This window comes from Homo sapiens, chromosome 5 (genome assembly GCF_000001405.40).
Source record: "Homo sapiens chromosome 5, GRCh38.p14 Primary Assembly".
NCBI classification, from domain to species: domain Eukaryota; kingdom Metazoa; phylum Chordata; class Mammalia; order Primates; family Hominidae; genus Homo; species Homo sapiens.
Window position 1 is genome coordinate 112,704,146 of NC_000005.10, and position 14,540 is coordinate 112,718,685.

General features: G+C 41.1%; 1 protein-coding gene across 19 annotated transcripts in view, besides 3 other annotated features; it reads left to right on the plus strand.

Annotated features, from left to right (window-relative positions):
- Positions 7-301: a silencer, noted in NCBI's record as "tiled region #14787; HepG2 Repressive non-DNase unmatched - State 22:ReprW". NCBI's record gives its function as "weakly represses a minimal TATA promoter and a strong SV40 promoter by Sharpr-MPRA in HepG2 cells {active_cell/tissue: HepG2}" and the evidence as "EXISTENCE:reporter gene assay evidence [ECO:0000049][PMID:27701403]".
- Positions 7-301: an enhancer, noted in NCBI's record as "tiled region #14787; K562 Activating DNase unmatched - State 5:Enh". NCBI's record gives its function as "activates a minimal TATA promoter and a strong SV40 promoter by Sharpr-MPRA in K562 cells {active_cell/tissue: K562}" and the evidence as "EXISTENCE:reporter gene assay evidence [ECO:0000049][PMID:27701403]".
- Positions 3,333-3,392: an enhancer, noted in NCBI's record as "active region_22910". NCBI's record gives its function as "activates an Ori minimal core promoter by ATAC-STARR-seq in GM12878 lymphoblastoid cells {active_cell/tissue: GM12878}" and the evidence as "EXISTENCE:reporter gene assay evidence [ECO:0000049][PMID:35858748]".
- APC (APC regulator of Wnt signaling pathway) overlaps positions 3,353-14,540 on the plus strand; it is a 138,742-nt gene continuing 127,554 nt past the window's right edge. For 13 of the 19 annotated variants that reach the window (NR_176366.1, NM_001407470.1, NM_001407472.1 and 10 more), the window contains exon 1: positions 3,353-3,737. Coding sequence is in view for 4 of the 19 variants with exons in the window: in NM_001407446.1 (NP_001394375.1) it covers positions 3,573-3,737 (165 nt within the window). In the remaining 15 variants the exon portion in view is untranslated. The remainder of the gene's footprint in view (positions 3,738-14,540) is intronic. The other 6 variants (NR_176365.1, NM_001407448.1, NM_001407450.1 and 3 more) reach the window with 1 other exon arrangement.

The following is a 14,540-nucleotide window of genomic DNA, read 5'->3' on the forward strand; positions in this document are numbered from 1 at the left end:
GGCAGGAACCCTGTCTTTACATAATTGTTTCTTAGTATCTGTCAGACCTTGGTCACAGCATCACTGGAGGAATACTTGTTAGTTACCACTGCAGATCTTTGAAGTAGGCAGGGTGGCTGTCATTATCTCTGTTTGTACAGATGAGGAAACTGTTGTTCAGCGACTGGCTTGAGGTTGTGCAGCTGGCTTGCTCATACTGGAGCGGTAGCTCAAGCCTTCTCACTGCCTGCCAACATCTCTTTCCTCTATTTCAGGCCCTGCCAGATAAAATGGTGTATTAATTTCATAGAGCTGTTATAACAAAGTACCACAGATTGGGTGGCTTAAAACAACAGACATTTATTGACTCAGAGTTCTGAAAGTTATAAATCCAAAGTCAAGGTGTCCACAGGGCCATGTTCCCTCTGAAACCTGTAGGAAAGTCCATGCATGCCTCTTCCTAGCTTCTGATGGTTTGTTGGCAGTCTTTGGCATTCCTTGGCTTGTAGCTGCATAACTCCAATCTGCCTTTGTCCTCATCTGGCATCCTCACGTTCTGTCTATGTCTTCACACGGTCATCTTCTTAAAGGGACAGTAGTCATGGTGGGTTATCCTACCCTATTGCAGTATGACCTCATTTTATCTTAATTATATCTGCAATAATTTTATTTCAAAATAAGGGTACATTGTTTGGTACTGAAAGTCAGAACTTCAACATACCTTTTTTCGGAGTAGTACAATTCAGTCTCTAACAGATGGTAACCATAAGAGAAGTAAATACCATAGAAACTGAAGACTTTGTCTTGTTTCTAGGATTTATTCCAAGGATTACATTGTAGTGAGGTAGAAGGCGGGGAAGTGTTTTCAAGTATATATTCCTACCTACTACTTGATTTGCATATGGACTGATAGGGCTTGGTTGAAGAGCATATGTTATGGGTTCAGTGAATCTCTTCTCTCATATAAGGACTAAATGGCCCCCACAGATAAGATGCCAGCCCCATCCTTTCTGGCAGGTCTCCCCAGCCATCCTGAGGCAGCTATCCCATTTAGAGGGGAAATGATGGTGTGTAATTCTGATAAGTCAATGGAAGAAGAGGTTGTTGCAGTGAGCCTATAACTCTTTTCCAGAAGGGTCTTTGGGGGTCTAAGGTATCAGCTGGGTCCTAGATGGGCCAGCAAGTCCCATCTAGGCACATTGAGAAGCCTAACCAATAGATGCAGCTAGCCTTTAGACTATGTATCCATTTTGCTGGTATTTCTTCTTTTCCTTTAATGAAAATATATATGTTATTAATAAAAATAAATACAGAATTTAAAAAACATTAAAAGGAAAATGCTAAAATGAGTTCTGCTCTAGTTCAAAAGAAAAGAACGACAGTAGTTTCCAGGCAGGCCCTTTGAGGTCCTACACAGGGATAGTAATACGACTGGGACCCTTAAGTGGGGGTAACTGAATGAAATCTCTAATGAAAGCCTGCTAATGACACAGAATCAAATCTCTGAGTAAGCCTGTCTCCAAATCCAATTTCTCTAGATGGGAAGGGCATGGGCTTTATGGTCAGCACTATCCCTTAATGTGAGACCTTGGGCAAGGGACTTAATCTCTCTGAATTTGCCCATGTATAAAAGTGAGGATAATTATCTAGCAGGGCTGTGGTGAGGATTTCATATCTAACATAGTTCACAGCACATATAATAGGGATTGCATTAACTTGAAGCCTTCCTTCTCTCCATACTACAACATATGTAATATAAACCCTGCCCACTGTCCCACAATCACCCACCCTTCTCCATCCCATCTGCTCTCTCTCCAACCTTCCTACTTATATTCTAGCTGAGGAGACATATAAATAAGAAGTGACTTGCATTTCATTTTAAAAACCAAGTGAAACCAATATAGTACACCACCAACTACTTAGATGCTGACAAACTTCCACACTTATTAAATCAACAAACACTGAGTGACAGAGCACTCATGCCAGGTATGGTGCTATGCACTGTGTATTCATTGGTAAACAAAACGTATTCCCTGTCTTATGGAGTCGACTGTTTAGTGTGGAGGCAGTGAAGAAACAAAACATAGATCATTTAAAAACATATTGAGTACCATGGAAGAAATGATAAGGTGCAATGATTGAGAATAATAAGGAAGACAGGGGAAAATTTATTATTCTTAGGAAGGACGGTCTTTCTGAGGTGATATTTAAACTGAAACTTGAAAGATAAGAAGTTAGACATTTAAAGAACAAGAAGAAGTGTCTTCTAGGTAGTCAAGGGGGCATATACAAACCAGAAAGGCAGTCGGGAGCTAGAAGTGTTTGAAGAGGAGTAGTGGGGGCTAGGGGAGACAGCGTCAACAACATACAAGGGCCATTTTGAATAAAATCCAACTTCTTACCATGACCTGGAGGCCCTACCTGATTTGGCCTCTGCCTACCCCGACCACATCTCCTTCCCACTGTCCATGTCACCTATTCTTTCTGTCCCTCTTTCATGTCAGACTTGCTACCACCTCAGGATCTGTTCTGTTGTTCCCTCTGTCTGAAAGCTTTTGCCCCAGATCTTCCAGTGGCTCCTGGGCCCCCATGGTCAGTCAGGCTTCAGATTAAATGTCAACTCTGGAGAAAGATCACTAATCACCACCTCTCACTGTCCATCATCTTTCTGTGTGGTTTGCTCTCTTCCTATCCCTTATCACCATCAAACATTCTTTTGTTGACTGTCTTTTATTGTCTATTCTTTCACACTAGAATGTAAGTTCCGTGAGTTTATTGTATTTCCTATTGCTGTAAATCTAGAGCCTGAAACAGTATCTAGTATATATCGGAAACCCAAATGATATTGTTCAATTAATGTTGAATGAAATGAAACTGAAGAGGTAATCCAAGGTAAAGAACTTATCAAACTGTGTGAGACAAACAAGGATTTCCCGGAAGAGGTGTTTTTAAATTAAAACTACAGGGTGGTAGTGAGAGGTGGTAGGGAAGCAGAGGTCGCAGCTACAAAATAATAACTTGCTCATCTCCGTTTCTCCGCTATCTTATGAGCCCTTGTGGGGCTGGGACAGAATTTTATTCATCTTTCTATCATCAGCGTCTAGTACGGGGAGTAGCAAATAGTGAGCACTCGATAGATGTTTGCGGAATAATGGACTAGTGTGTGCAGAAGGATCTATTAACTGGGCTGCAGCACAATTCAGAGAAGGCCAGTAAGTGCTGCAACTGAGACTCGGCTGCCTAGGCAGCAATGGCTCACGGGACAGAACAGCGAAGCAGTGCCCGGCAAGCGGAGCGCAGCACCCATTGCGCCTGCGCATAACAGGCTCTAGTCTCCGGGCTGTGGGAAGCCAGCAACACCTCTCACGCATGCGCATTGTAGTCTTCCCACCTCCCACAAGATGGCGGAGGGCAAGTAGCAAGGGGGCGGGGTGTGGCCGCCGGAAGCCTAGCCGCTGCTCGGGGGGGACCTGCGGGCTCAGGCCCGGGAGCTGCGGACCGAGGTTGGCTCGATGCTGTTCCCAGGTACTGTTGTTGGCTGTTGGTGAGGAAGGTGAAGCACTCAGTTGCCTTCTCGGGCCTCGGCGCCCCCTATGTACGCCTCCCTGGGCTCGGGTCCGGTCGCCCCTTTGCCCGCTTCTGTACCACCCTCAGTTCTCGGGTCCTGGAGCACCGGCGGCAGCAGGAGCTGCGTCCGGCAGGAGACGAAGAGCCCGGGCGGCGCTCGTACTTCTGGCCACTGGGCGAGCGTCTGGCAGGTGAGTGAGGCTGCAGGCATTGACGTCTCCTCCCGGCAAAGCTTCCTCGGCTTTGCCCCGCCGCTGCTCGGGACCCTACGGTGCTCGGCCCGACTCTGTGGCTCTCTTCTCTCCATGTCTCACCCTCTCCCCTCCCCGCACTCCCCATTCAGGCCTCCAGTTGGCCCCTGGCTTTGCAGGTCCTCCATTCTCACGCAGTGGATGGGGGTCGCGACGCCCGCCGTCCTCCACCTTTCCTGGCTGCTGCTGGAGCTTCGCCCCTGCAAGTGGTGCCCCATTCGCGTTAGGTGGGTGGGTCGTCCGCCCTTCCCATTTTAGTCGCTTCCCCATCTTCCTCGTTTGGACCCTCTTGCTTCCTCTAAAAGTTTTAAACTCTCTGCCTGGGAAAATACCTGATAGCCCGGCATGTGGAGTTACAAAGAAAGGGCTGTTATCCAAAGGCCGGTGAATTTTGTTCACTTTGATGGGAGAATCAAGTCCCCAGGAGCCTTGGATGGTTAGGTCAGAGTCTGACTCCTTGACCCACCAAGTAGAGGAATGGTGCCTCTGTTGGCAAATGATTGTTCATCTAAATCATTCATTTTTTTCGGCTGTAGGAAATCTTTGGTCTCTGAACTGTTGAGGTGGGGGCGTGAGCTTTCTAGATCTAGTGAAAGAATTGGAAACTGTTATATTCGTTTTAAAAAAGAAGACCTTATGCAGTACATGTAAGACATCACTTAATGGTACAAGCAAGGATAAGTGATTTATTCTTTTATTCAGTGTTAGCTTAAATTGCCTACTGACGTCTTAGAATTCCATGTTGTACAAGCCCTTTGTTTCTATTTAGAAAGGACTAAAATGGAGAAAAGCTTTTTAAGTTCAAAACTTCTTAAATTGCTTGTATTCTCGATTGTTGTTACTGTTCAACCCTCCTTAGGAGTACTTGATATTTTCTATATGATTTAGTCTTGTGCCAGTCTCAGTACTCCCTCCTTTATTAGTGGAGCAAGGGTAGTCAGAATTACTGGTGTAAAAAACTGTCCTAAATAACGTAGTACCTTGCCAGAGTCTAAGTGCAAAATGTGGGATCAAAGCGGTAGTGGAGGAAGTTGCCATGGCTAATTTTTCCATCTTTCCCTGGATGGAAGGGTTGGATAACGTGTCAAGAGCCCCAAAATTGTAGAAGTGAGATTAAAAATATAAATGATAGCTTGCCCTTTGAAATTGCAAATGGGTGGACCTTTTTTATTAACATTAAATTGAGCAATATCGTTTTCTTGAAGTTATGCTAGATGTTCTCCAAAGTTGTTAAGCACAAACTATGCCTGCTGTATTAGAATTGTATGTTAAAAATTTTTAACGTGTGGGTTATAAATAGCCTGGCAGATTTGTTTACTTTTCATTCTGTCTCATAACACATAATCTATTTTTCCCTTTACTGTGGACTTTTGACCTTTTAATGCATTTTTAAAATTTAGAGATAGAATTGTTCAGCTTAAAAGAAGGAGGAATATTTTTATGTTTGCTTCTTGTATGGGCTAGTTCATTCGTTGCTAGCCTTCACTTTTCTGGAACCAGAGCCTGTGTGTTTTTAGAGCTGGTTGTCTCTGAATTCTCTGCATACAGTTTGAAGGGGCAGTAGCAAAGCAGGGGTTGCTGAGCCCCAATCAGTGGCTCACTGCTTCTGGCAAAATGATTTGTAGCTCTGTATCAAAAAACATCTGACCACAAACTCTTTAAAACCTCTCACTTTGGCAGGGTGTGGTGGCTCATGCCTGTAATTCCAGCACTTTGGGAGAGGCCAAAGCGCATGGATCGCATGAGTCCAGGAGTTCGAGACCAGCCTAGGCAACATGGCAAAGCCTCATCTGTACAAAAAAAAATACAAAAATAAGCCAGGCATGGTGGTGCATGCCTGTGATTCCAGCTACTTGGGAGGCTGAGGCAGGAGGATTGTTGGAGCCCGGGATGTGGAGGTTGCAGTGAGCCAAGATTGTGCCATTGCACTCCAGTCTGGGTGACAGTAAGACCCTGTCTCCTAACAAACAAACAAACCCTCTCACTCTTCCACTCTTATGGAATTTGGTATTTTTTCCTTTCTCTCTCTCTTTCTCTTTGTGAACCTTCTTTGTCTCCCTGTTCTTCCAACCCATTACCCTAATGCTGATTTCATTTGCCTCCCTGTGTAACCAGGATCCCATGATCATCAGCTTTTACTAAGCTCCTATTGATGGCCTAGAATGCTTCACTTTCTGTAGACTTACCTTTCTAGTCCCCAATCCTAAATAAGCCTCGCTAGCTTTACCAGTTTGACCCCTGAAATTCTGAGGGACATCAGAGACAGCTATGTGAGGATATTGGTCAGTTTTTATGCCAGTTGGTGCTCTCTGCTGGGTCTCTAGTGTTGTGTTCCTTTTCTTCTCATTTCCTCAGGTTTTTATAGCAAATAACTTAATCTCTTCCTTTGCTGAGAAAAATCTCAACCATCTGAGGTATATTTCCACTTCACTTTTTTCATCTCAGTGTCATCTCTTTATATATATATATCTCAGAGGAAGAAATGACCTTCTTTCTTTTCAAGAGCAACCCCCTCCCTCCAGATGTGTCCATGTACCCTTTCCCATCTTTCTTTCTCTAGAAACTGTCCATTTTCACTTCCTGTCCACCTTCTTCAGCCTCTCCCTCTCTAGCCTACATAGATGCTTGTATCTTCTGCCATATAAGTGTGTGTGCTGTTCAACTCTAGGAGGACGTTCTAAAGCTTGAGTCTGCTATGCCACTGTATTTCTATTCTTTTCTTTAAAGACTTATTCTTTCATCCCAGGAAGCTGTTATAGTAGGAAGAACATTGACTTTTGAGCAAGATAGAACTTTTGATCTGGGTTTTTGAAGTCTTTTAAAACCACTTTAGTAGCTGTGTAACTGTGGGTATGTTACTATTCAGATTTCATTCTGTATCTATAAAATATGTTATACTTAGCTCACAGGGTGGTGGTTAAAGAAATTAATACATGTTAAATGTCCATCCAAGTGTTTGGTACATTGTAGAGTTCTTACTAAATGCTTCTGTGCTTTGCACTCGTACTGCCTTTACCATTTCACCACTGAAACTACTGTTTTAAAAGTTATCTGTGACCTCCGAATCACCAAATCCAATGACGTTTCCTCTGTCATCCTTGGTTTCCTTAGACCCAGGGGTCCCCAAACCCCAGGCTGCAGACAGGTATCAGTCCTTGGCTTGTTTGGTGTTAGGAACTGGGCAGCATAGCAGGAGGTGAGCAGCAGGGGAGCAAGCATTACCACCTGAGCTCCACCTCCTGGCAGATCAGTGGCGGCATTAGATTCTCATAGTAGTGCCAACCTTGTTTTGAACTGCACATGCAAGGGATCAGGGTTGCATGTTCTTTATGAGAATCTAACTAATGCCTGATGATCTGAGGTGGAACATTTTCATCCTGAAACCATCCCCCACCCAACTCCTGTCCCATGGAAAAATTGTCTTCCACAAAACCATTCCCTGGTGCCAAAAAGGTTGGGGACTGCTGCCTTAGATCAGTTGTGAAATATACTGTCTTCTGTAGTCATAAAACGATCTAGATTTCTTGGCTTTTCTGCATTATACTTCCTGATTCTGTATTTCTCAGGAAGTTTCTTCACATTTTCCTTTTATCAGTTAGGCTGCAAATGGGATTTAAAAATGAAAGATAAGCTGGGCCATGGTGTCTCACACCTGTAATCCCAGCAGTTTTGGAAGGCCCAAGTGGGAGGATTGCTTGAGGGGCGGAGTTCAAGGCTGCAGTGAGCTATGATTGGGCCACTGCACTTCAGTCTGGGTGACAGAACGAGACCCCATCTCAAAAAAACAAAAAAACCCAAAGAGATGTTTTGGCTCTTGCAATTGGCAAGTACATAGATAGAAGTGGCTTGAAGAGTGCTTTGTCATGTCATCAGGGCTAAGCTCCCATTTATCTGCTGTTCTCTCAACATTGTCCTTGTGTTTGGGCTTTAGACTTCCCTTCTAATAAAAAAAAAATTGCCACCAATGATGTTCATATTATAGCCCCTTCATTTATTTCCAAAGAAAGAGAGAAGGCCACTTCTCCTAGCCTTTTCCCAAGAATCCTAAGCTCTAGTTTGATTAAACAAACATAGATCATGCTGCCAAACCTGTAACAATATCTTTGTCTAGAGGGATGGAATTATCCTAAGTGGCTTAGCCAGTGGAGTGAATCTTACCTGAAAATAGAGACTGCAACACAATACGGGGAAGGGGTGGATCCTGGGGAAGTAACCAGTGTCCTCAAGGTTCCATATGCTTTTCACTGTGTTCTCTTGGTGATCATATCCTTTATGATATAAACCATCATTTCTGTGGGGCTGTTTCTTGGTTCTGTAACTCCCTACTTCCATTTCCTCCTGTATATGTCTATCTTATATATACTACCCTAAGTTTAACTCATACTAAACTGAGTCAGTTTGATCTCTTCACCAACCCTCACCTAGTGTGTGTGTGCACATATATGTTTTGTTGTTTGTGAGACCGACGGGGTTTCACTCTGCCACCCAGACTGGCATGTAGTGGCATAATCACAACTCACTGTAACCTAGACCTCTCAGGCTCAAGCAGTCCTCCCATCTCAGCCCTTAGCCTCCTGAGTAACTAGGACTACAGGTGTGCATCACCACACCCAGCCCTTTTTTTTTTTTTTTTAAGCGACCGGGGCTTGCTGTATTCCCCAGGCTGGTGTCAAACTCCTGGGCTCAAGTGATCCACCTGGGATTCTCAAAGTGCTGGGACTGCAGGCATGAGCCACTGCACCCAGCAGCATGTGCGCGTTTGTATTCCTCTTCCCCCGATTTCTCTTTTCTAACTACCTCTCTCTCAACAACCCAGTCTTGAAATCTTTCAGAAATCTTGGTTCTTCTCCCACTGTCAATCACGTGTCAGATCTTGAATATATCTTGTTTAGTTAGGCCCCCAAGTTGTATAATACCCAGTTAACATTGATTTAAACAGTATCTCGGGCTAGGCGCTGTGGCTCACGCCTGTAATCCCAGCACTTGGGGAGGCTGAGGCGGGCGGATCACTTGAGGTTAGGAGTTTGAGACCAGCCTGGCTAACATAGTGAAACCCCATCTCTACTAAAAATAAAAAAATTAGCCGGGTATGGTGGCAGGCGCCTGTAATCCCCACTACTCAGGAGGCTGAGGCAGGAGAATCACTTGAACCCAGGAAGTGGAGGTTGCAGTGAGCCAGGATTGCATCACTGCACTCCAGCCTGGGTGACAGAGCGAGACTCCATAGCAAAAAAAAAAAAAAAACCAGTATCTCACATAAAAAGTCCAGAAATGGAGTATTCCATGGTTAGTTTAGCTGTGCTATGATTTCATCAAGGATTCAGGTGCTTTCCATCTTTATGCTTGGCTATCCTTAGCATGCTTAACTTTGGGCTCAGACTTTGCCATCATGGTTGCAGATGGCTCTGCTCCAGGCATCACATTCTCCAAAGACAGGTGGAAGTTTGTCCTTTCATCTCTTAATTAGGCAACTAAACCGTTCACAGAAGCCCTCTTTCCGATGTCCATCCTGGCGTGCCGCTGCTTTAATTACGAGGAGGCTGGGAAAATGAATATGTGGCATTTCAGTCTAGGAAGAGGGTAAGCAAATGGCTGATTAGAAGAAAACAGATGGTGTCAATGACAGTATTGTATGGAGAAATTTAAATAAATAAGAATTTTCAGATAATAGTGGCAAATTTAAAACACTGTTTACACCAAGAGTTAATATAAGCTGTACATAGGATTTCAGTGTTTATTTTCTGAGAGAGAGTCTCGTTCAGTCACTCAGGCTGGAGTGCAGTGGCTTGATCTCAGCTCAGTGCAACCTCTACCTCTTGGGTTCAGCGATTCTCCTGCCTCAGCCTCCCAAGTAGCTGGCGCCTGCCACCACACCCAGCTAATTTTTGTATTTTTAGTAGAGACAGGGTTTCGCAATGTTGGCTAGGCTGGTCTTGAACTCCTGACCTCAAGTGATCCGCCCACCTTGGCATCCCAAAGTGCTGGGATTATAGGCGTTAGCCACCGTGCCGAGCCTATACGTAAGATTTTGACTGAACATTTAAATAGTCATAGGTGACTGGTTAAAAATGAATTATTATGTAAAATTAGAATATTTCAGTGGTATATCCCAGTTTGTTTAAGACTGTGTTAAGTACATTTAAGCATATCTGTTGGAGCTACTGCAAGAAACAGGTATGTTATATGTAACAACTATTGAAATAGAGTTGTGGTTCCCCTTGGGGATGGGAGATGTTTGGAAATACTATATGGGGACATTTTTGGTTGTCACAGTGACTGCGAGGTACTACTCATAATTATTAAGTAGAGGCCAGATACACTAATGTCCTGTGATGTTTGGAATGGTCCCACAAAACAGAATTGTCCTTTCAAAAATACCAGTAGTGCCCCTGCACATGTATACACTGAAGTTAGCAAATGCTTTGCCTTTTGAAAGAATTCAGAGATTGATCTATATTCTTACATTGCAAGTGACAGAAAACACAAAACTGGCTTAAACAAAAAAAGGGACTGAGTACATCTTCTAGTAAACTTTAGCTAAGACTTCATCCAGTGGCTCACATGAAAACATCAAGGACTTAATTTCTCTTATTCATTCTGCTCCATTATTCCCCATGATTTGGTTTTATTCTTGGGCTAGCTTATCTTAATGGTGGTAAATTACTGTAGTACTTTCAGACTTCATATCCTCATTTCACGTATAGTAAAATGAAAAATATTTTGTATTTGATTTTACAAGTATTTATTTAGTATCACCACTACTGAAACTTTCCCTAAACATCTATCCCTAAAAAGTTTATTATCTCTTCTATCATGCTTCAGCTTTACAATCTATATATCACACTCTATGGGTATTATTTTTCTGTCCCATGCATTACTCTACCTTGTCTTAATTATTGTATTCTTAATGTCTAAATGTCTGGAATACTGTCTGGCATAGTAGTGTATGATAACTGTTTATGGAATTAGTGAATGATTTTGTGCTTACTACAGAAAGGAAGAAGCAAGTATATATAACATCTATTGAAATAGAGTTGAGGTACCCCTTGGGGATGGGAGATGTTTAGAAATTTAAGAACGCCTCATTCCTTCATCAGTTATTTTTGAATCCTGAATTATGTACATTGTACTCCTACCACTAAAGCATGTATATGATGCTCTTGCAGTTGTTATAATAGAGTATGAATTCGTTTGAAAGCGTTACTGAATTCTACTTGTGTTTTTGTCATTTTCTCAACAAAACCAAAACCAATTATTAATTGAACAAATATTTTTGAAGCCTGCTGTAGGCAGATAGTGTGGCAACATTGAGTGGGAACAAAACAGAGCCTGTGTTGTCTGAGCTTAAATTTTAGTGGGGGACATAGTCAATAAATATTATATATGTACACATACACACACACAAATAACATCAGGTAGTATATAGATCTTGAAATAGAATAAAATAGGTTCAGGGGACAGGGGATACTACTTTAGTTTGGTAAGAGAAGGGCTTTTTGAGAAGCCGTTTGTGCTAAGAGACCTGAGTGTTCATGAGTGAGGTGGCCTGTACCATTCTTGTCGAGATGTGAAATAGAATAAAATGAGGTGCCCATCATTTTTGGTTTTGGAAGAGTTTGTGTATAGTTGGAATGAATTCTTCCTTAAATATTTGTTATAACATGTCAGAGAAACCACCTGGGCTGGGAGTTTTCCTGTGGAAATGTTTTTTAAAATTTGGTATTTATTTGTACATATTTATGGGGTACATGTTATATTTTGATACGTGTATAAAATGTGTAATGATCAAGTCGGGGTATTTAGAGTACCTGTCATCTTGAGCGTTTATCATTTCTTTGTGTTGGGAGGAAAGGTTTTTAATTATTAATTCAATGTATTGTTTTTAAGCCTATTCAAGTATTCTATCTTGTGATTATTTTTTATAATTTTTCCACTAAGAATTCTTTTATCTAAAATTTTAAATTTACTGGCATGAAATTGTTTATAATAAATATTCTGTGGTCCTTTTAATGGCTGCAGGAAAAGATTCCCTTTTCATATCTGACGTAGGTTATTTGTACCTTTTCCTTTTCCTTATTAGTTTCACCAGAGATCAGTAGTCTTTCCAGAGAACCGTATTTTGAATTTTGCTAGTCTGTTGTATGTTTATTTTCTGTTGCGTTAATTTCTGCTTCTTATTTCCTTCCCTGCTGCTTTTTGGGGTTCTTCGGTGAAGTTCTTGAATTTTCAGCATTTCTTGTTTTTAAATATGTTCATAAAGTTAAACATTCCCCTCTAAGCGCCATTTTAGCTAGTTCTATTACTAGTTTTGATACATAGTATTTTTTGGTACATAGTATTTTTATAATTCACTTAAGATGTTTTCAGATTTCTGTTATGATTTATACTTTGACTTTTGGATTATTTGGAAGTATTATATTTTTATTTCTAAACATATGGAGATTTTCCAGTTATTTTGTTTTTAATTTGTAAAATTACAATGTAATCCAAGAACATACTCTGTTTCAAAGGCCTGTTATTTCAGACTTAAAATTTGAGATCTGTATATGGCCCAGTATATTGTCTTTTTTTTCCTCTCCATTTATTGAGTGCAGGTCTCTGTATTTTTTTTATTAGGTCATATTTGTTAATCCTGCATTTCAAATCTTAAGTATCGTAGGTGATCTTTTGTTTGCTCATCAGTTACTAAAAGTGTATGTTAAGATGCTCCATTATGATTGTGGATTTGAGTATTTCCCTTGTAGTTCTCTAATCTTTTATAAATTTGAGGCTATGCTATTAGATGCATAGAAATGTGTAATAGCTATATCTTCTCAGTGACTCAACATTATCAAGTTTCCTCTTTTATTCTGGTAGTACTTGCACATTAAAGTCTAGTTTGAGATGAATATAACAACGCTAGCTTTCTCTTTATTATAGTTTGATCTTCTTTTACTAGTTATTCTAGAAATTGCTATCTATCTTATAAAATCTAATGTTAATCAATACCTTTATCCTATTCTCAGATGATGCACTTTAATTCTACTTACTTGCAGCCCTTCTCATATAGTTATTTTTGTTTGTTTGTTTGTTGTTGTTGTTGTTTTGAGACAGGGTCTCGCTGTGTTGCCCAGGCTGGAGTGCAGTAGCGTGATCTTGGCTCACTGCAACCTCTGCCTTCCAGGTTAAAGCAATTCTCGTGCCTCAGCCTCCTGAGTAGCTGGGATTACAGGCATGTGCCACTACGCCTGCCTAATTTTTTTGTACTTTGAGTAGATACGGGGTTTCACCATGTTTGCTAGGCTGGTCTTGAAGTCCCGGCCTCCCAGAATGCTGGGATTACAGGTATGAGCCACCGTGCCCAGCCCCTACTCATACAGTTTTGTTGTGCATTTTAATTCATTCTTATTTTTTCTCTTTCTTCCTCATTATTGTTGTTGTTACTGTTTCATACTGCCAATATTTTATTTAAGTTAATGCATGTCTTTACCATCTTTTTACTTTTCGTATGATCTTGCACTTAAGATTGCTTTCTTTGATTTTGAAGGATCTGAAACACACCCTTTAGAATGTCCTTTAGTCTGCTTGAAAATGTCTTTATTTTATCTCAGTCTTAAAGGATATTTTTGCTAGGTACAGAATTCTAGGTTAGCAGTGGTTACTTTATTTCAGCACATTTCATTGTTATTGAGACCTCAACTCTTTGTGTCTCAACTTTTAAGATAATGTGATTTTGTTTGGCTGCTTTTGAGATTTTTATCTTTGGCTTTGGCTTTCTGTTTTACTAAGCTGTGATTAGGCATCGGATTCTTTGGGCTGTGTGAATATATGGATTGGTGTCTTATCAGTCCTGGAAGTTTCTTAGCCATTATTTTTTCAAATATTGTCTTTGCTTCATATTCTGTCTCCTGTCATTTTGGGACTAGTTTAGTATGTTAGGCCTTCTTATCCTGTCTCTTACCTCTTTTCTTTTTCTTTTTCTTTTTCTTTTTTTTTTTTTTTTTTTTTTTTTTTTTGCTTCTTTTTGACCTCAAGGCATTGTTCTGGATATTGCTTCAGACTTATCTTCAAAGTTCACATTTTTTTTTTCACCTATGCCTAATCTGTTATTAACTCATTCAGTAAATACCTAATTTAGGTTATTTTTTAGTATAGAATTCTTATTTGGTTCTTTTCAAAACTGTATCACTTTTTACAGTTTTCAATTTTAAGCAAAAATATTTAAGTGTGGCCTTTATCCCCTTGAATGTAGTAAGCATAGTTATTTTTCAGTTTGTGTCTGATAATTCCAATGTTGGGAAGTCTCTAGGAAGCTGATTCAGTTGTGTTGTAGAAATAAATTGATGTATATAATGTAAGATGAAGTTAATCTTTCTCTAAAGAAGGTTTTCATTTGCTGTCACCAAGTGCCTGGGGGTGTGAGAACATCTTAATGAAATTTCAAATCTTTAACTTTCCTGGGCCACCCAGATGAGTTGAAACTGACTTCAGTCCATGGTTTCCTTCTGGTTCCTTCTTTATTTCTAGGTTGCAGCCCTTTAGGGTCTCAGCCGGAAGCCAATGCTGTTTTCACTGCAGTCCTCACCCTTGGTGGGTCTCAGACTCTGGCTTTGGTCCCCTGTGCCTGCAATGCAGGCAACAAACAACCAAGCTCAGCCTCTTAAATGCTTCTTTGTTGGCAAACTCACAAAAGGCAAAAGCTGGGGTCACCTTTCTGGGTTCCTGACTTCTAGTGGATTTGAGCTTCTTATTCATTCCTCGTTA